General features: G+C 35.4%; 1 protein-coding gene across 15 annotated transcripts in view, besides 1 other annotated feature; it reads left to right on the forward strand.

Moving 5' to 3' along the window:
* Positions 1 to 23,005, forward strand: part of ADK (adenosine kinase) — a 558,070-nt gene that overhangs the window by 223,483 nt on the left and 311,582 nt on the right. For 13 of the 15 annotated variants that reach the window (NM_006721.4, NM_001369123.1, NM_001202450.2 and 10 more), the window contains one exon: positions 19,438 to 19,610. In NM_006721.4, coding sequence (NP_006712.2) covers positions 19,438 to 19,610 — 173 coding nt within the window. Of the gene's footprint in view, positions 1 to 6,225; positions 6,289 to 19,437; positions 19,611 to 23,005 lie in introns of those variants that run through there. The other 2 variants (XM_017015699.2, XM_017015703.3) reach the window with 2 other exon arrangements.
* Positions 9,906 to 9,985: an enhancer, noted in NCBI's record as "active region_3595". NCBI's record gives its function as "activates an Ori minimal core promoter by ATAC-STARR-seq in GM12878 lymphoblastoid cells {active_cell/tissue: GM12878}" and the evidence as "EXISTENCE:reporter gene assay evidence [ECO:0000049][PMID:35858748]".

The following is a 23,005-nucleotide window of genomic DNA, read 5'->3' on the forward strand; positions in this document are numbered from 1 at the left end:
CTTTTACTAAATTCAGAGAAAGCATGCCCATGTCTCTCTGTGTTTTTTGTGTGTATGAGTTTCTCTATGTATAATTCACTTTAGTTTATTTTTCTTCTTTTCGCCTGGTAAAATCTTCAAACTTCAAGAAACAGCATATCTGTTATTTACTCTTTGACCTTTTCATTATACCCCATATTCCTTGGTGCTTTCCAAGTTTTTTGTTCGTACCTTTATTATAACACTCCTCGTATGTTGTTTTCATGCTTACTCCTCCAGTAGAGCTATGAACTTCTCATGACTTTATTTGTGCTTCTATTCCCTCACAGAGTACTTTAGATATAATAAGAGTCTCTTGGATTAATGAGTTCCTAATTTTATTGTGGGTGCTCAGTAACATTTTTATTTTGATGATGTTATAATTGAGGTATGAATCAGACTCCCCTTACACTTTCTGCATATAAATCTTTTTTGTAAAAGAATTCTATACATTTTAATTATCCTATAAAAACTTAATTACCAATATTGTTTGTAGATGTCTGTTGCCAGATTTTTAAAAAATGATGCATTACCATCCCCATAAATGATAATTGCCTTTTGCTTTTTTTAATATAAAAATGACAACTTTGCCTGTCAAATTATAAAAAATGTTTTCTCATTATTTTCATTTGCCATTCTTTGGTTACTGTGCTAGAGAATATATATGTCTATTGTTTGTTAGTGTTTATATCATTGCCCTTTAAAAAAATTGTAGTTGTGCAAGAATGGATGTAGGCAGGCTAAAATATGGACTCTCCAGAGATGTGGATATGCCTGGGAAATTGTCATTTGATTTACCTGTCTTCACAATCAGCATTTTGGACCGTGATACAGTTGTTACTACCTATTTACACTTGGCTGATAGGCAGGCTCAAAGCTGTAGCCTCTTATTAGAGTCAGTCAAGGGGGGCCAGAATGGCAAGAGCCATTTTTTTTTTTAAACTGCTGGTCCTACCTCAGCAGCACCAGGAGAGTGGCAAAGGGGGCTTCTTCAAAGATTTTATGGTATCTTCACTTTATGTCAAAGTCTAAGCTATCAGTATTTTTCTTTGTAGTAGTTGGTGTATGTGCCAAAGTTAGAAAATCTTTCTCTGTCTTGGTTATTAAAATAAGTGGCTGAATTTTCTAATACCTTTATGGGTTCTGTTTTGTTTTGGTTTGTTTTTTCATTTGTGTGGGGTTTTTGTTGTTGCTGCTGTTGTTGTTTTTACACTTTTGGTTAAAGTGTGACAGGAAAAACTTTTCTTTTTTTCCCTGAAAATGGTTCTGTTTTTATGCCAGCTTAATGTACTAATTCCCTCATTTCCGTCTAAAAAAAAAATCACCTTTATTTTAATACTATATTGCCATAGGTACTTGGATCCGTGTTTGAACTCTGTATTTTTCTGTTGATCTGTATATTAGTACCAAATTGTTTCTAAAGCAATTAACAAATAATACATTTTAATACCTGGTAGTAAACTGCTCCCTTAATCCCATCATTATTACTCATCTATTTCAGAAGGTACTTTCTTATTATTCTTCCACATGAATTTAAAAATCATATTGATATTTTCAAAATATCACATTGGAATTTGTAGGTTCTTTAGGAAGAAATAACATTTTAGGGTACATTTTTGTTTTCTTATCATATATCAAGTTTTTCATTTTAATTATTTATTTCATAGCTTTTTATTATCGAAAGTTTCAAACATACACAGAGAAAGAATAGTAGGTATAATGAGCTCCACGTTTCTATTCTCTATCTAGCTTCAGTAATTATTTACATTTGCCAAACCTGATTTAAGTACCTCTCCTATGAAGCAAGTCCCAGATGTCTTATCATTTCATCCTCAAATGCTCTAGATTGCCTGAGAATGGTCTCAAAAAACCCACCATCATATTATTCACAATGGTAATTTCTTACTGCTATTTAATATCCAATTTAGATTTGCATTTCATAATTGTTTCAAAAATAGCCTTTTACAGTAAGTTTATTTGAATCAGCATCTAAAGAATTCAAACACTATATTTGTACCTTGTGTCTTTTATTATTACTGCTTTTCTCTCTCTCGTCTTTTTTTTTTTTTTTTAATACTGTCATTGACCTTTTTTTAAAAGAGAAACTGTGTTATTTTTCCAGGAGAATATCTCACTTTCTGAATTTGGTTAGTTGCTTCATATTTAGTATTTGCTGAGAATTTGAGCTAGAGATTTGGTTAAACTCAGGTTTTATTTCTTTAGGCAAGAATCTTCTTAAAGTGATGCTCCATCATTTCCATTTTATCTCATCTGTGAGCCATCATATCTGGTGGTTCCACTTTTAATGATGCTGAGATTAATCAATATGTTCAGGTGTAGGTTTTTTGTTTGTCTGGTTTTCTTTCTGCTATTGTATATAGAACATTTTCCTTACTGTTTTTCTAGTAGGTTATTATTGGTATCTGAGAAGATTTTTAAAGCATGTGTTTTAGTAACTGGACATCTGACCAAACTCTCATTACTGTGTCAACTTAAAAATCATGAGATCTGTAAATCTGGAAAAGAGAACTTTATTTCTGAGAAGGGTTACAACCTGTAGGCTGGGAAGCACAGCCTCTGGATTAGATCAAAAGTAGCCATTTCAAAGACGATGGGTGAGAGAGGAGTTTTACACTAAATGGGTTAGCTGAACATACATATTTAACAGGTTATAGGAGGAGCTATGAGTATTCATGAAAGGGGTTACATGTATGTATGATAAGCAAACATAACATGTTACATATGTCCCATGTTCGCTTTGGAATGGAGACTTAACATTAAAAATGTGGTAAAATCAGACTCTATACATCAAAGGTGAAACTTAGGACTCAAAGGTGCTTTGTGCACATTCTCTGTAAACTGACCAGTCCATGGTCAATTGTCGTTTATCAGGAAGGATTGCTTTGTAAGTTGGTCAGCAGTCATGTCAAAACCATGAAAAGGGAGGGGAATCTGGCCACAACATCAGGCAGTTGGTCAGTGGAAGAATTTTCCATTCTTTCTTTTCCAGGGCTGGTGTTTGTTTAACTCTTAGGAAAAATAGTCTAATGACAGGTAGTGAGGAAGAGTGTATACTGAGACGTGACCAACCTCCTATCTCATCAAGGCCGGGAAACTTCGTTTTTAAAGTTTTTCTGGGGCCTCCTTAGCCCACAGACATCTGTTCAGTAGGTTGGGGCACTTAGGATTTTACTTTATCTCACAAATATCTAATAAAATTTTTGGGTGATCCTCTTCAGTGACTAGTATAGAATTGTCACACTTGAGCTTTGGAGATGAGGTGTCTCAAATTAAACCCTAGGATGGTTATTTAGTCTTTCTGTGCCTCAGTTTTTTTTTTTTTTAATCTATGAAATGGAGATCATGTGTCTACCTCATAGGTTTATAATGAAGATTGAATCACTTCCCATAATAATCAGAAACTACATATTTGGGCTGGGAGCAGAGGCTCACACCTGTAATCCCAGCCCCTTGAGCCCAGGAGTTTGAGGTTATAGTGAGTTATGAGCATGCCAAAGCACTCAGAGTGAGATTCTGTTTCAAAAAAAGAAAGCAGATGTTTGTTTTTTAATTTTTCCATATCTTTTGCAGATTGTGATATTGTGCTTTCCCTTTTTTTCATATTTTAGGCCTTTAATTTTAGGATGTAATTATATAGGCCATAACAGTTAAAAAATAGCAGTGATAACATGCATCCTACAATAACATGAATAGCTAATATTTATTTTAGTATAATTTTCTTCTTGTATAATTATGTTGTTTTAGTAGTATGTTTTGAATATCACCAGAATAAATTTTTGGTATCTATTAAAATAATACTATAATTTCTTTACATTGATCTTTTAAGATACAGTTTATCCAATACTTATGATGCCAGGTTCCAGAATGCATTAGAAGAGTGTTTGTGGCATAGGGAATGTTGGAACAGAAGCAACACTTTACAATGTTAAATAGTTTTATTGAGAAGGTGAGATTTGGGTAAAGACTTTCAAGATGAGTGAGGATCCATATGGGTTTCTGGGGGAAATCCAGTTCAGTGGAGGGGTTGGCATTTGCTAAAGGAGGGCATGTTTGGTGTGTTTCAAAATCCAGTAGGGAGCCGGGTGTGGTGGTGTGCTTCTGGAGTCCTAGCTGCTCAGGAGGCTAAGGTGGGAGGATTGCTTGAGCCCAGGAGTTCAGATCTAGCCTGGACAACATAGCAAGATCCCATCTCTAAAATAAAATAAAAATTTAAAAAATTGTTTAAAATCCTGTAGAGAGTTCAGAGTGGTTGGAGCAGAGTAATGGAGAATAGTAGACAATGGAGTTAGAGAGGCAATGAGAGGTAAAGGGAAGTGGCTTGAACCTGTAGGGCCTCATAGACTATTGTAAAGATTTTTGCTTTTTAGTGAGTGTTGTTGGAAGCATTACAGGGTTTTGAACAAAGGAATGACATACTTTGGCTTGCATTTAAAAAGGACAGCTCTATGTGCGTGGAGTCAAGGATGGAAGCAGAGAGGTTAGGAAATCATCGCAACAGTCTAGGCAAGCAGTTATGGTAACTTGGATGGGTGGTAGCGTGGAGTTAATGAAAAGTGGTTGAAATCTGGAAATAGTTTGAGAACAGGCTTTTCAAATGGACTGGATGTGGTGTGTGAATAACACTCTTCTCACTGGTCTTGTTGCCTCTCCAATCCAGTTATACACAGTAGCAAAAATGATCTTACTTTACATTTGATAATTTCACCTTCTTGATTAAAATCCTTCAGTGACATACTATTACACTGAATAAAATTTATCCTTCTTAATATAACCAACAAGGCCCACATAATCTAGAACTGCATATTTTTCTAACCGTTTTCATCTCCCTGAGCTCCAGCCATACAGGTGTTAAATTGTTTTAATATGCCAAAGTTTTTCCTGCCTCAGATGCTTTGCATTGCTCCTCCCTCTGGAAACTTCCCCTAACCGTAAGGTCACTCTTTACCCAATCAGCTCATTTGCATGTTTCACGTCTCAGTTTAAATGTCCTTTTGTCTATTTAAAATATATTTTAGCTGAGTGCCTTTAATCCCAGCTACTTGGGAGGCTGAGGCAGGAGGATAACTTGAGGCCAGGAGATAGAGACCAGCCTGGGCAACATAGAGAGACCTGGTCTCTGAAAAATTGAAGAATTAGCTGGGTTTGATGGCTTGCACATGTAGTTCTAGCTACACAGGAGGCTGAGGCAGGGAGGATCACTTGAGCCCAAGAGTTCAAGGTTACAGTGAGCTATGATTGTACCACTGCACTCCAGTCTGAGTGACAGAGTGAGACTCCATCTCTAAAAAAATAAATAATTGGTTCCTTCTTTGCCTGCCTCCCACTCTTTGTCTTTCTCAAACATTTTTTTCTTCATAGCATTTCTTACAATTATGCATTTTATTTCTGTGTAATGTTTTTGTTTGCTATGCTTTGCATTTTATATTGTGTGGAATCTCCATGAAAATAAGGACCAGCCTGACTTGTTCAAGTTTGTGGTCAAGTAACAGGATGGTACCTGGCCCTTAGAACTATCTTTATAAATATCATTAGATTGGATTGACTGACTCAATTAATGAACAAATGAACAAACAAAATAAATCATTATATGCTGAAGTAGCAGTCCTGGACATTGTATCTAATTTAGATTTTAATTTAACCTTGTTATTTTGATACTCGCTTCCCTTAATCAGTCATTGCATGTTCCTTATTGTAAGGTGGTTGTTTTTCTTTATCATGAGAAGAATAGTTCTTCTCCGGGCGCAGTGGCTCACATCTGTAATCCCAGCACTTTGGGGAGGCTGAGACGGGCGGATCACAAGGTCAGGAGATTGAGACCATCCTGGTTAACATGGTAAAACCCCATCTCTACTAAAAATGCAAAAAATTAGCTGGGTGTGGTGGCATGCACCTGTAGTCCCAGCTACTTGGGAGGCTGAGGCAGGACAATCGCTTGAACCTGGGAGGCAGAGGTTGCAGTGAATCGAGATCGTGCCACTGCACTCCAGCCTGGGCGACAGAGTGAGACCCTGTCTCAAAAAAAAACACATTTTTTTATTTAGCTATTAGCTTCTAGGCAAAATCTTAAATTTCAGAAAATAATTATACTCATATAGTCATACTACCTGTCAGGGAAATGTGTCAAAGGAAATATGAAACAATAGCTTTAAAGTTGTCCCGCACCCTCACCCTGTTTTTCTTTTGAAGGTATTATACTAAAGGAAGAAAGGGAAAAAGAGAAATCTATGGTGTGAGTTCAAGTTTACTACTGTAAGTGTTTAAGAAAGGGCTCTGTTACCATGACAACAAATGCATGAATTTCATGTGGAAAATTTTCAGTGTATGGGACTGATAAAATTGTAACATTCTGATTTTCTCTGGTATAGAATTGTTCTTTGTCAAGTTAAAAAAAATCTGTTAATATATGTTAAAATTAAATTTTTAAATGTTTTATGATATTGTTTTCTAATTGTTTATTATAACTTAAAATCATAGCCAAAAGAGTGTACTTTCGTAGATCTGTCAAGCAGAAAGTTAAGTATTTGATTTGACATTAAAAATTACTTTTCTAATCTGTATTAGATTTTTGCTAAATGGTAAATAAAATGGTAAATAGTTTCATGTATTGGGAGTTCTTGACAATAGAAAATGACCTGCCACTTTATAGATTCCTTTGCCTTAAATGCTTACTAACTCAGGTAGAGGAAAGCTGTTAAGCTTTAAGTGCTTTGTCATATTTGCAGGCTTTTATAGTGGAAGAGAACAGCAGTCAGCAATGATGATGGAAAACTGTGGCAGGTAGACTTAAAACACCATAAAGCACAGACGATTGTGTGTAATGCCTTGAATTGAATCCTTTTTGAATGAAATGATCAGCCATATGTGCCACCCTTATGGACCCTGTAAGAAGAGTAGAAGAAATGTGCCCTAATGCTAACTGTGCATGAAATTGCAGTGTTAGGAGATATTGACCAGATGTTTCAATCTCAGCAAATGGCTTGTTATGTGACTGAGTGAAAATATCTTTGCTGCTTTGATCACATACACCTTGAAGGAAGGGGTAATTTAATAGAGGCTGTCATAGTTCATCATTGTCAATAAACTTTGACTTGACCTTTGCCTTACGTTTTTGATGTTGCTGCTGTTAAGTGTTGTTGGGCAGATGTTTACTGCCTTGAGGGATTTTGCTTTTTATAAAGTGTATACTAGAAAAAGTAAAGGAGAAGGATTTTCTCAATTCTTTTCTTATTCTTTGGTTATTAGTTGGCATGCTTCTCTGTGGATTTTGTAGAATTTCTGGGCAGATGCATTTGAGTGACATTCTTATGTCTAAAGATCACTGTGGTGTTTCTCTAAAGGTTTCTTCCTTTCCTCACCTTCCTTTTTCTTTTCTCGAGACATGGTCTCACTCTGTCACTCAGGCTGGAGTGCAAGTGATGTAATCTTGGCTCACTGCAGCCTCTACCTCCCAGGCTCAGGCGATCCTCTCACCTCAGCCTCCTGAGTAGCTAGAACTACAGGTGCACACCACCATGCCTGGCTAATTTTTGTATTTTTTCTAGAGATGGGGTTTTACCACATTGCCTAGGCTGGTCTCGAACTTCTGAGCTCAAGCCATCTGCCGGCCTCAGCCTCCCAAAATGCTGGGATTGCAGGTGTGAGCCACCGCACCTGGCCCTTTCTCACCGTTTTGTCCTGGTTTTAATTTACCACAATAAACTTCCTTGGTGGTTTTTCTTTCTTATTTTATATACAGCCTATTCTTTTGTTCTGATGAAAGTCACATTGAATTAAAACTTGACACCTATTGTAACACCATACCAGGTGCTGTGTTATTTTTTTATCCCTAGTTTTGGAGACCTTTGGAGATAAATCCATGCTATTTTGTAATCCATTTTTGTTAATCTTAAGAAATTGAGTGAAAGTTTCAGTAACACAATTTTTTTAAAATTATAAGATACAGTATTTTAAAATTTTGGTAAATAGCTTTGGATTAAATGAGTTTCTTGTTTAATTTGATGAATTTGACTCAGTTCTGTAACCTTTTTGCTCTTTTTCTTGAAAAGAAAAAGGCTTCCTCACTGGCTATATCTGGGTTCTGCCTACACTCTTCCCTCACTTCCCCTTGGTGTAGGTGGCCTAGACCGTGTTAGTCACCTAATGAAATCTGTGAATCCTCTCTTGAAAAACACAGCAAAGTTTCCTTACAATTTCAGGATGTTTATTGGATTTTCCCCCCCTCCTCTCACACATACCCTGCAATGATAGGGGCCCCTGGACTTCAAGCAGACTAACAAAGCTTAGAAAATAAGATTCATACTCCTTCTTAGTATTCTAGATATATAACAATTTGACTTAGAAGTAACAATAACAATAGTATTAGTGATACTGCTACAATAATTACAACAGTAATAATAATAATAATAATTAAAATTTACTTTCTGCCAACCTTATGCCAGATTCTATGCTGAACCTTTAACCTGTATTACTGGTTATATTGTTAATGATACCTCTAGATAGAGTATATGCAGCATACTTTTATTCTGTACTTTAGGAAATACTATATCTTTAGAATACAGATTTGAGTAAGAGATTATAAGCATTTTGATTCTAAGACTTTTTGGAATACTGAACTTTTAGTTTTCTGATTCCAGTAGTCAGTCTGTCTGTCTCTGTCTCTGTCTCTGTCTCTCTCTCTCTCTCTCTTTCTCGGCCTCTCTGCCATTCATCTTCTTCTGAAAATTAGCTATCCCACGTAAGCCTCATATATCCCCTAATTCCTATTTGTAGTTGTGAGGGAGGAAAAATATTTTCCTTCTAAGTTCTCTGCTGTAAGATTCTTGTAACAAAAGACAGATTAACAAAAGTTAAGTACACTAATTTATATTCTAAGTTTTATGTAACATAGAGGGAAATGAAGACTTGAAGAAACAATTAAACCTGGTGTTTTTACATTAGGTTTTATGAAGAGTGGAAGGGAAAGGCAATAGGACAAAAAGGGGTATGAACTAAGAGTAGTAAACTGAGGGGACCTTAGCAAGACCTGTTTGTTTAGATTCATCTCATGTCCTTACATCTTCTGAGATAAGGATGTTCTTTTTTTCTGCATATAGTAAACATCCTCTCACATGGATGGTCTTATGATTTGCTTCAGAGGAAATCAGAAAGTCCTTCCTGCACCTGCTGTTCTCAAATTCCTTCAGCTTAAAATTTTCAGTATGTCAAGTGCCATATTTTGGGGGTAGTGTGTCCTGATCTCCATCATAGTTAAGTGTCAGCTTGGACACAGTTTCTCATATTTATCTTAGGAAATCTTCTTTGGCCACTCTGCAAAGACTAAGGTGCTACTTGCATGTTCTGCAACAACTCCTATTATATATATATCATCTCTTAAAATAAATAGTAACATATCTTGTATGTAAGCTTTATGTACCCTTAAATTGTAAGTTTTAAGAAGATACAATCCTGGCTTTCCTGTTCACTTATTTGACAATTATTTAATTGCATAGAATGTAGCAGGCACTCTTCTAGATTTGGAAACACACCCTACAACTCTTTTAAAAAAGCCAAGAAAACAGTCTTGAACAGCAAATTACAATTAAGTGGAATTAATTCTATGATAGGAATGATACAGTTTGTTGCGGCAACATAAAATGCAGGCATATAGGCTGGGCACGGTTGCTCACACCTGTAATCCCAGCACTTTGGGAGGCCGAGGTGGATGGATCACTTGAGGTCAGGAGTTCAAGACCAGCCTGGCCAACATGGTGGAACCCCACCTCTATTAAAAATGCAAATATTAGCTGGGCATGGTGGCGTGCACCTGTAATCCCAGCTACTCAGGAGGCTGGGGTAGGAGAATTGCTCGAACCTGGAAGGCAGAGGTTTGCGGTGAGTCAAGATCGCACCACTGCTCTCCAGCCTGGGTGACAGAGCAAGACTCCGTCTCAAAAAAATAAAAAATAAATAACAATGGGTATATAGAACAGAATTTAGGACAACATTGTCTCAGTAAGTGAAACCTGAAACCTAAGTAGGAAGCTAGAAAGAACAAACAGAAACAGAATGAAGTATTCAGTGTACTGGAACATTGCATTCAAGAGTGTTAATGCTTAGGATTAACTTGGAGAGGAAGTTAATGGTTCAATCATAAAGTTGTTTATGTTGAACTTGCTTAAGATACTTGGGTAACGATTGAAGGACATTTTAGGAAGAGCACTCAAAATGCAGTGGATTGGAGAAAAACAGAACTAAAGGCAGGGAGATGATCTAAGAAGCTTTTGCAAATGGTTGCATGGTTGGGAGGATGGAGTGACAGAGAGAATGGGAAATGACATCCAATGGGTAGAGGTTTCTTTTTGAGATAATGAAAATGTGATGGTTGCACAGCTATGTGAATAAACAGGAAACAACTGAATTGTATATTTTAAAGTGGCAAATTGTATGGTTATATGAATATATCTCAATAAATTTTTTTAAAAGAGACTTTTATAGTAGTCTAATTGAGAGTAGATGGTGGCCTGTACTAAAGTGGTGTTAATAGAGGCAGGAGTAAAAGTGTGTCAATTTAATAGGCAAAATAGGGTTGAGTAGGTATTTGGATATTCAGAGCAGTCATTTGAAAACAAGTATAAGCTAAAAATGAGGGGGTCTCAGCATATAGATGATAATTGAAACCATGAGAGTAGATTAGATCATATCCAGAGAAAGTATATACGGTAAGAATTGTAGGTAACCTGGGAATCCAGGCCTGAGAAATGCTAAGGAATGGGGAGAAGGAAAGAAGCCTACAAAAGAGATAGAGAAGACTTCTTTATCCATTATTAATTACAATAATGTCCAACAAATAATAGGTGATCAACAAATATTGGTGGAATGAATTGAATGAATATACACTAAAAATTCTGCATTTTATCACAGTCTCAGGGCACTGTTGTCATCGTCAGCTGTACTCTGTAATAGGCACTGCCTTGAACACTTTGCTTACATTATCCTATTCAATCATCACAATAATTCCACAAGAAACATAGTCTCTGAAATAGTAGCTTGTTTACCATCACATGGCTGGATGAACTTATATATCTGAGTCTAAAGTTTATTTTTTCTACTAGGCCTAATATTCCCCGAATCTGTTCTGAGAATGTTAACAGATATTTACTAACAAAAATAACAATAGAACTATTTCAGGGAAAGAACAGGATTATTAGAAATTGATTTTTATTAATAGGATGCTTGCTGGCAGGGGCAATGGAGCAGTTTTTTAAGGAAAGAAGCATAACATACTAGTTATTCAGTTAGAATAGATTCTTAATATTTATGAAAATCTTGTGTTTTGCCCTGTCTCACTTGGTGGTATTGTAATCATCTGAGAATCTATCCTATAAGTTATGTGATATATGCTATTTTCCTTATCAATCTATTTCAGTTTTGATTTCCTCATCATCCTTTGCAGTCTGCTTGTTGCTGTTTCTCAGTTTTGACATTTAATTTCTTTTAGTTGTGCTTTACAGTTTTTCTGAGATGCCTCATTGAGTTTTCTGTATAAAATTTCATATCTTTGGCTTATCTTGCAACTCTTTTAGTACCTAGGTGTCATTCTTCATCATTCTATTATGAATTGAATTAAAGCATATGGCATTATTTCAGAAGTGACTGCCTCTTGGGCATCATTGTCAGTTATATTGTCCTAAATATTGCATTTAGGTAATAAAAAGGAAATCTTCCTTGAAGGTAAAGTTAATATTAATAGAAATCTTTCCATATGTTGTTAAAGACTCTTGTTATGAAGTTTAATATGCCATTTATTTAGGCCTTATTTAAATTCAGTTGTAAATTTTTTCCTTCTGGCTCCTTACCTTAGTGAACTGTCATCTCTTATCATCATACTCTTTGCTCGAAAACCTTCATGTGTTGCTTTCTACCCTCAGGATGTTGCCTAAATTTCTTGAAGTGGTATTTACTGATCTGGCCTACATCTACCTTTCCCATTAGTCTCTTCCTTCCCACATAGTTGCTTTGTCGGTATACTCCTAATAGTCTTTTATTTCTGTTTTTCATTGTTTTTGTTAATATTATATTCTTGTTTCCCAATCTGTGCACTAAGTCCCCTTGGGGTGCTGTAGCAAACCCACAGAGAGTCTTCAGGGTATTTCAAAATTTCAAGGTAAACACAGTGACGTCTATCAGACACAGCATGAACCACTAGCTCCAGATATTTCAGTTTTTTTTTTTTTGAGATGGAGACTTGCTGTGTCACCCAGGCTGTAGCGCAGTGGCGGGATCTTGGCTCACTGCAGCCTCCACCTCCTGAGTTCAAGCGATTCTCCTGCCTCAGCCTCCTGAGTAGCTGGGATTACAGGCATGTGCCACCACGCCTGGGTAATTATTGCATTTTTAGTAGAGACGGTGTTTCACCATGTTGGTCAGGCTGTTCTTGAACTCCTGACCTCGTGATCCGCCTGCCTCAGCCTTCCAAAGTGCTGGGATTACAGGCGTGAGCCACTGCGCCTGGCCTGGTATTTCAGTTTTAACATTAGATTACTACATTCCTTTTGGTGGCATTATACTGTGCGAAACTGAATCTTTGACGGTTTCTGTGATAAAAAGCAAATCAGTGTGAAACAAATGAGGGTGATGGTTACCAGTCTGATTCCAAGATTTGAGAATTTTGCAGTGCCTAACAGGTAGAAAATCATTAGGAAATAAACACTTTTGGCTGAAACGAATTATTTAATAAATGGAATTTCTTTCATCCTAGGGGCACCATGATAAAATTTCTAACATAGGAAAGGAGGCATGTGCTATATGCTGTATGACTCTTTTTTCTTTCTAGTTTGTAACCATTTTGGAAGATCATACCCATCCTTCAAAGACCAATTGATACTGCTACCTGTCTTTGGAGGCCTTTCCTGATCCCCTCCACTGCAGTTGATCTCTCTCATGGGTATTTTCCAGTAATATGCTGCTTTTTTACTATTGCTGTTTAAGTTAAACTAATTGAAGTATTTATTTGAAGTTACCAATAGTGGCCGTGGTTTTCCTATTCCTCCAGTTAGGTATAATTACTTAAAGTATAACAAGAGCCCTTTCCTTCTTTGTATAAAGGTGATACAAATATAATAATAGAAACCCTATACTGTACTAAACTGCGTAGGTTGTTAGTCAATTTCTTTTTATTTCTTTTTTTTCTTTTTTCTTTTTTTTTGAGAGGAGTTCCACTCTTATTGCCCAGGCTGGAATGCAATGGCGCAATCTCGGCCCACTGCAACCTCCACCTCCTGGGTTCAAGCGATTCTCCTTACCTCAGCCTCCTGAGTAGCTGGGATTACAGGCATGCGCCACTATGCCTGGTTAATTTTTTGTATTTTTAGAGATGGAGTTTTTCCATGTTGGTTTGGCTGGTCTTGAACTCCCAACCTCAGGTGATCTGCCTGCCTCGGCTTCCCAAAGTGTCGGGATTACAGGCGTGAGCCACTGCACACGGCCTTGTTTGTCAATTTCTAATTCTTACAACATCCTTAAAAGATCATAGGTTATGTTATCCACATTTTATATTTGAAGAAATTGACGTTTAGCAGTGTTAGTTTTTCTCACACCCACATACCTCCTGACCTTTAGCTATTCTAGTTCCTTTTCCTTTAATATTGATTATAGAATCAACTTTTTGATATCCTCAAAAATCCATTGAGAGTTTGGTTGGGATTGCATTGAACTTATGAATCAATTTGGGGAGAATTAATGTCTTAAGAATATTGAGTTTTCAAATCCATGTACATAATATAGCTCTTCGTTTATATAAGTTGTTTTTTTTTCCTCAGCAGTCTTTTGTAGTGTTCTACATATATGTCTTGCACATATTTGGTTAAATGTGTTCCTACATGTTTCAATTTTGGTGGTATTGTAAATATTGTTTTCTTAATTTTAATTTTCAACTCTTCTTTGAAAATTTATAGAAATACATTAGATTTTTATATATTGATCTTAAAGTCTGAGACCTTGATTGACTTACTTTTAATTCTAGAGCATTTATGTGGATTCCTTATGATTTTACATATATTCCTTAAACATGCACAGGTTGGTATCTAGCCATAGCCTCAAGGGTTACTCTGTAGATTTCAACTCATTCTTCTCTGAAAATCTTTTTCACAATTTCTAGTCTCCTGGCTCTCCTTGAACACATCTCTTTCTCCTCATTTTAGTGAAAATGCCAGGCTCTATTTGCCTTCTTTCTCCCTCTCCATGGTGTGGAACTTGCCTCCTGGCAGAGTACCTGCATGATGTCAGGGCACACCTTGTTTCTTTCCTATCAGAGATCACAGTCCTACCATGCCTGTTATTCAATGTCTGAAAATTCTGTAGGTGTTTCCTTTTGGTTTTCTGGTTTACAGCACAACAGTAATTCTAGAGCCTGCTACTCACTCATGGCCAGAGCAGAAGTTAAAGTTTTTAAGGTATACTGTACATATGTGAACCAAGGGAAGGTAGGCAGTTTATTTTAGCTAAAAGAAGGAGCATAATCAAAGGTTATAAACAAGGTTGAATCTCCATCCTGGAGAATCAAAATCTAGTAGTTGTGACTTTGTATTAGGAACATCATCATTTTTATCTTTTTATTCCCTGGCAGACATGCATTAAATGTTTGTTGATTGAGTATCAAAATGATAGGAAATAGATTAGTTGGATGTTGGTGAAACATTGTGTTTTAGATGCTTACAGATGTACTAAAATTTTAACAGAAATCTTTGCAAATTACTTGTTAAATTTTCCTAAACTGATTTTTAAAAATCTATTTCATTCTCAATTATAACATCTTTACTGAGATTATTAAGTGCTTTGAAGCAGTTAACGTGGCTTTTTTTTTTAATGGCTGTAAAAAAACTGAATTTTTAGGCTTGTTAAACTCTGGTTTTAGAATGACTTTTGAGTGGAAATCACTGATCAAAAGCAAAGTTCTCACATTTTGTCAATATCTGAATGTCAGAAATAGAATGTCAGGCAGTTTCCCATGTTGAAATATTCGATAGTAAAAGGATAGCAAAGTTGCTGAATATTTCTACTGTTTATCAATTTTTGCCTTGCAGGTTCAAATAATATTTATTTGTAGTGGAAATATTTCAATTCATTTAAATCCTGATTATGGAGTAGTTAGTAAATCAGGTTTAAGCCTGACAGTGAGTTGATATAGCTCTTATTTCAGACTGTAGTTTGAACATGTAGACTCTCTGATTATAACTAGGCTAAATTATATAATAATGACTTTATTTTCACTGAACAAAGTTTGCTATTATTTTGATGACAAATTATTTAAGTAATCATAGTAAAAGTTGCTATTGGCTCTGGGTTTTATTTATTTTGCTATATATAGTAGACATGGTTGATCATTTAATCATGCCTTATAGATAAATAAAAGTAAGTTATAGAATAACACAGAAATTTTCTGCTAAATTTATACTTTCACTAAATTTAATAACAATAGAAATTCTCTGTTAAATTTATACTTTCACTAATTGTAGAATAAAGTATTTTAAGTTAGGCATTTATACTGAGACATTTTATGATATTAACTGCTTCATGTTATTTACTCATTTTGATAAATGGAGTGATAATATCCAAAATGGAATAAATTAAGTTTAAATTATTGTTATTCTTTAAAGGAATGATTTAGCTACAGTATGTTTGTCCCACCTTTTAATTTTGAACATTTTCTAACTTACAGAATAGTAAAATGAACTTTTCTATACCTTTCACATTGATCCACCAATTGTTAACATTTCAACACATTTGTGTTCTCTCTTTAAATAAATGTATGTGTGTGTATTTTCCTCAGAACCATTCTGAAGTATTTATTCCTTATTCAAGAAATTAAGCATTGATACTGTTTTCTGATGTGTGATCAAGATTCCAGATGTCACAGTTATTCTGGTAGTGTCCTTGATAGCTGTTTAATTTTATTCTCAGTCCAGGATCCAATAAGAATCACACATTACATGTATTAGTACTATTTCTTTAATATACTTTCCTCCCACCTTTTTGGTTAAGGCATTTTCTTCAAGAGTCCAACCCAGTTGATTGTAATATGTGCCACCTTGTGGACTTAATCTCATGATTTTAGGCAATAATAGTACGTAAGTGACACTGTGTATTTCCCATTGCATCACATCGTAAGGTTTATGGCTTTATTGATAATGCTAATTGATAATGGTTAAGATAGCATCCCTCAGATTTTTTGCTTAGAACCTTCTTCCCTTTCCCCATTCCATGTTTGTGTTTTCCTTATCCTGTTCAGCAAACCTAGTTCCCAACAGCATCAACTTTATATTCATTTGCTCTATCCTACAATACGCACAAAATAGTTTCACCAATAACATAACCAACAATAAACCTACTAAATAAAGTTTGATTTATTTGTTGTTTTTGTTCCTTATAATTATTCCATTAAGACTGTATTGTCATAAGAGCATACTGAAAAATTATTTGCATTATTTTTTCTATGTGCTTATGTTACAATTTGATACCTTCTTTGATTTTTCATTCTTGTTATACTCAACTTCATAATTTGTTTTTCTTCTAATGGAATTTGAAATTAAAATTAAATTTTATTATTTGAAAATGCAAAATTTTAACATGTTTCAGAAGTCAAATTTGTATGGAATGCTATATTCAGAGAACTCTTCTATTCCTATTCCTCTACTCCTTTCCCACTCACTCTCATAGAAAAGCATTTTTCATTTCTAGTTTATTCTTTCTGTGTTTCTTTTTATAAAATTAGCAAACACAAAATTATATATACATTCTAATATATGTATATAGTATAGTATCTATACTAAAAGAATATATATGGTTGAGTGAGGTGGCTTGCACCTATAGTCCCAACTACTCAGAAGACTGAGCTGGGAGGATCTGTTGAATTCAGGAGTTCGAGGCAAGAATATACACACACACACACACACACACACACACACACACACACACACACATTCTCTTTTATGTAATAAAAACCATAACATTAACTCTACCATCTTAACCATTTTTAAATGTACCAATTAGTATACGCATGTTGTTACATAGTCAACCTCTAGAAATTTTTCATCTTGCAACACTGAAACTCTGTACCCATTAAACTCTTAATTCTCTGACTTCCCTCCCTGACGTCCTTGGCAACCAACATTCTACTTATGTTTCTATGATTTTGACTACTTCAGATACTTCCTATGAATGGAATCATACAATATGTGTCTTTTTTGTGACAGACCTTATATAACTTAGCAAGTTCTTGATGTTCATCTATGTTGTAGCATGTGACAGGATTTCCTTCTTTTGTTTCTTTATCCTTTAATTGTTGATAGATGTCTGGGTTGCTTGTACTTCTTGGCTATCATGAATATTGCTGCAGTGAACATGGACATGCAAATATATCTTTGAGATCCTGCTTTGAATTCTTTTGACTGTATACCCAGAAGTGAGGTTGCTTGATTATATGTTAATTTAATTTTTAATATTTCTTTCAGGAACTTCCATACCATTTTAGTAGTGGCTGTACCATGTTACATTTCCACCAACACTGCACAAGGGTTCATTCACTTCTCCACATTTTGCCAGCATTTTTTGTTTTCTGTGTTTTCGGTAGTAACCATCCTGATCAGTGTGAAGTGATATCTCATTGTGGTTTTGATTTCCCTGATGATTACTGATGTTGAACATCTTTTCTTGTGCTTATTGGCCATTTATATATCATTTTTGGAGAAATGTCTATTCAAGTCCTTTGCCCATTTTAAGATCATGTTATTTGTATTTTTATTGTTCATTTAGAAGTTTGTTATATATTCTGGATATTAACCTTTCATTGGATATATGGTTTGGAAATAAGTTGCCTTTTCACTCTGTTGATTGCCTCCTTTGCCATGCAGAAGTTAAGCTTGATATAATCACATTTATCTATTTTTGCTTTTGTTGCCTGTGCTTTTGTTCCATATTTATGAAATCATTGCTAAATCCAATGTCCTGAAGCTGTCCCCCATATTTGAAAATAATATATATTATTAAGTTTTATTTTTTAAACAAAGCTTTTTACCTTTGAGACTTGATTTTTTTTTGAAGTTAACAAAATATCCTGGAAATTACTTTGTATAGAAGGAGTGTTCCACAGAGCTTTTCCTTTTTTTGTGTTGTTTTGCTGGGATTTTTGAATGGCTGTGTGGTATTCCATTGTGTGGATATATCATAATTTAATCGACTGATCTTCTACAGGTGGACTTCTAGTTTATTTCCAACATTTTGCCATTACAAATAACATCTCAATACTTATATATGTGTTGTTTTATATTGTGGATGAGTCTGTAGAAGTGGGATTGCTGGTCATTAAGCTGTTACTATGTCTCATTCTTACAGTTCTGTCTTTGTTACTTTTTCCTCTCCTCATCCTTTTACCTCTCAAATATGCATGTATTTCTTTTCTATTCCAAATATTTGAGAACAGATTTTATCAAAATCTATTTTGATATCTTTTGACTTTGTATGTAGATTATTTGTAGGTTATTTTGCTACCTGTAAGTCTTTGAAACTAAACAGGTGTTACCTATAGAATCACTATAGAATATTAGAACCCTCAGGGATTTGAGCTAATTATAAAAGGTAAAAAGTTCAAATCTGTGAAACATATGCATCTTACAAGAAATCCATTAAAGCTTATAATAATTACTTCAATGAAAAAATGAGATATTTGTAACTAGAACTGTAACACTATTTCTGAATTTTTAAAAGAATTTTTTTAGATATGAGCATGTTTTAGCTTAATTTATATATGAATTACTACAATAAGTATGACAATCATAGTAACAGCCACAGCTAATATATGTTGTTGACTATGTGCTGGGTACCATGCTCAGCAATGCAAGTACATTAATTTACATCATTTCAATTAGTCCTCAACGACCTTATGAGATGTATTTGTAATTATATCTCCACTTTAAACATGAGTGAAATGAGAAATGTTAAGAGATATGCTCTAACATGCTCTAACTCATGCAGCTAGTAAGTGGCAGAAGCAAGATTTGAACCCAGAGAGTCTTCAATCAAGATGGATTCTGCTCTTTTTATGACAATGCTAGACTTCTTATATTGGGACCCACTATTATTTTCCTATATCAGGCCAGCATTTGTCTTAAGGTCTGTATGATTTTAGCTGCTGAGTCCTTAACAACTTTATGTACTTTATTTCTCTCCCCAAAGCAGTATAAGATATTACATGGTTGTTATATTAAGTTTTTTTAATCGTAAGTGATAGCACAGAATTGAAATCCCATTCATAACAGCTACAGTTTCTCACAAAGCATTCTTGTCACATCACTATCTGTGGCAGAATATTAAACTATGTGTACCATTTTTTTGCCCCATTAAATTATTTATGTTCCTGTTTTACAGTGGATGATTCAACAGCCACACAAAGCAGCAACATTTTTTGGATGCATTGGGATAGATAAATTTGGGGAGATCCTGAAGAGAAAAGCTGCTGAAGCCCATGTGGATGCTCATTACTACGAGCAGAATGAGCAGCCAACAGGAACTTGTGCTGCATGCATCACTGGTGACAACAGGTCAGTGTAATTCCAAGGGAACCACTATACTAATTGGCTATTTTAACACTGGTAAAATATGAATTCCAATGTGAATTTGGAATTTTGACTTTATAATTCCTTTTAATGTTTGATAAATGCTTATTCCTTATATCAGTTTTCCTGTATTGTTTTTAAATTTACTTTTGTTAAACATGCAGTTGAATTCATGAGGCATAATGGAATAAAAGTTTGAGGTTATTTAGTCCAGTCTCTACTTTTTATAATTAGAATCAGAAAAGGCTGATAGCTTGCTCAATGCCTTGTAGCTTGCTCAACACCTTGTAGCTAATTTGTTGCAAAACTTGAATTAGAAACAATGTTCTTTTCACCATATCCTGAGGTTGGAATACGAGAGAGAGAGACAGAGAGACAGAGAGAGAGTGTGTGTGTGTATTTTATGTATATAAAATACAACATTACATTCAGGCTCGTAAGACTTAGTCATCTAAATGGTCATCTAAACCATTTCTGGCAAATAGTAATTCATTCATATTGAATAAACTCAGTCGTGGGTAGTATACCACTAACAAAACAACCAAGTATATTTCTATACACCCTTACTTATTAGAAAAGTATTCTTAATATGAACTTGAAATATCTCTCTCAGGCCCCTCCATATATTGGTTGGTTGTTCTTTTGTACCCACATGGAGATACTCCTTCAGTGTATTCATGCACTGCTAACGTTATTACCATATCAGCACAGGCTTTTTTCCCCTTTGCAAGGGAAAAACAAAATAACTGCCCTAGCTATTATATTGTTGGGATAATCAAAGATGACCTCTTTTTAAATAGTGATTCACTAGAAATTTTGCATTACTTATAGTTGGAAATATGTAGTCTGTCCTCCTCCATTCCCTATCTCCTTTCTTTTCCCATCTTCTCTTCCTTTCTTTTTTTCCCTTTTCATCCTCCTTTATTTTCTTCCCCCTCTCCACCACGACCTTGCTCCATTTCTTCTATTTACCCACTTTATTGCTCACTACTTGACCTTCAGCAGAGGTATATTAAGGAATGGACTATTCTAGAGACTGGGGATCAATAAGCACAGTATTTACTAAATAACCAAAATACAATATTCAAAAATTATTAGGGTATGAAAGGCATTTTCAGATCTTTCCTTTAATTTTGTTTTTTATATACAGGAGAACTTTATGGTTTTAAGATTACAGTAAACATTGAAATATGGGATTCAGGGATTTTAAAAAAAAACAACTAAAAATGTTGAAATATGTTTGTTTAGACCTTTGCCCTTAGTTTTCCCAAGACCAGCCTTAATCTGTAGGTGCAAAGTTTTCCCATTAGTGAGAAGTAGGTCAGATTTTCTTCTGATATCACTTAGGCTACAGTAAAATTACTAAATTGTTTTAGTATGCTAAATTGCTGTCCTAAAGAACAGTTATGGTTGGGTGCAGTGGCTCACGCCTGTAATCCCAGCACTTTGGGAGGCCGAGTCAGGTGGATCACCTGAGGTCAGGAGTTCGAGACCAGCCTGGCCAACATGGTGAAACTCCGTCTCTACTAAAAATGTAAAAATTAGCCAGGTGTGCACCTGTAATCCCAGCTACTCGGGAGACGAAAGTAGGAGAATTGCTTGAACCTAGGAGGTGGAGGTTGCAGTGAGCCGAGATTGTGCTATTGCGCTCCAGCCTGGGCAACAGAGCAAGATTCTGTCTCAAAACCAAAGAGAGAGAGAGAACAGTTATGATAATATTAGATCTTCTGGATGTCAAAAACTTAACTTTTATACTAATTTTATGGTTATAGTGATATTGTTGAGATGATATGGGACTCAAAAATTGGGGAGAAATCTTCAGTATCTAAATCATTATCTAAATTCTGGAAGCTAATACAGTTGGATCAATTGTTTTGGATAGGTCCAGTAACCTTTGCTGCCACTATCAAAAACTCAGAAATTGGCCGGGTGTGGTGGTCACACCTTGTAATCCTAACACTTTAGGAGACCGAAGTAGGCTGATCACTCGAGCTCAGGAGTTTAAGGCCAGCCTGGCCAACATGGCGAAACTCCATCTCTACAAAAAATACAAAAATTAGCTGGGGATGGTGGCATGTACCTGTGGTCCCCGCTGCTTGGGAGGCTGAGGTGGAAGGATTGCTTGAGCCCAGGAGGTTGAGGCTGCAGTGGACTGGGGTCGTGCTGCCCACTGCACTTCAGTCTGGGCAAAAGAGTGAGCCCCTGTCTAAAAAACAAAAAACAAAACAAAAAATTTCAGAAATTGAAGTGTTTGGGTAATGCAGTATCTTTCTTGATCCAGGTTCTTCCTCTTCAAAGTCAGAATCAAATACGTTGGGATAATAAGAATACTCATATTTTTCTGGTCGGGCATGGCAGCTCATGCCTGTAATCCCAGCACTTTGGGAGGCCGAGGCGGGTGGATCATTTGAGGCCAGGAGTTTGAGACCAGCCTGGCCAACATGGTGAAACTCCACCTCTACTAAAAATACAAAAAAATTAGCCGAGCATCATGGCGGGCACTTGTAATCCCAGCTACTTGGGAGACTGAGGCAAGGAAATTGCTTGAACCCGGAGGCGGAGGTTGCAGTGAGCCAAGACGGAGCCATTGCTCTTCTCTAGCCTGGGCAACAAGAACGAAACTTCATCTGGAAAAAAAAAAAAAAGAATACTTTTATTTTTCTTTTGGAGAAACTGTAGTTTCCCATCAAAAAGTAGTTTTATTATCAGAATAGAGTTTAGTATCTGGTACCAGAAATGTTTGCTTTTATTTGGTAGCCATTTTGTCAAAATTTTCCTAAAGTCATAATTACTAAAATATTTTTATAAATTAGGTCTAAATTTTCTTAAGTTTGTAATATAGTTATTTTGTATATGAATATGTTGATGCATATTACTCTTTCTTTCCTTCATTTACTTGAACATAAACAGATGTATCCTTTAGTAGTAAATTGGCAGATGGATGAGTGGAAATACGTTTTGGAAGAGAATTGAGGTTTTTTTTTTTAACAGTGTAATCGAACATATTACCAAAGTCTGAAATGATAAGATTTTTTTTGTAAGCTATAACTGTTACAATTTAATTAGAAAAAGAGAAAAATTGGCAAGTAATTTTTTAAATTCTGGAGCAGTATGAGGAAGGAAAGTATTTTTATTTATAATGTAAATAATTATTGTATTTATTTTTAATTAAACAAGCCAAGTGACACTTGTAGCAGGATTTTATTTATTTATTTATTTATTTTTTAGAGATGTGGTTTTGCCTTGTTGCCTAGGCTGGAGTGCAGTGGCATGATCATAGCTCATTGCAGCCTCAAACTCCTGGGCTCAAGCAATCCTCCCACCTCAGCTTCCTGAGTCCCTAGGACTATAAGTGTGCACCACTACCCCCAGCTAATTTT

This window comes from Homo sapiens, chromosome 10 (assembly GCF_000001405.40).
Source record: "Homo sapiens chromosome 10, GRCh38.p14 Primary Assembly".
Lineage (NCBI taxonomy): Eukaryota > Metazoa > Chordata > Mammalia > Primates > Hominidae > Homo > Homo sapiens.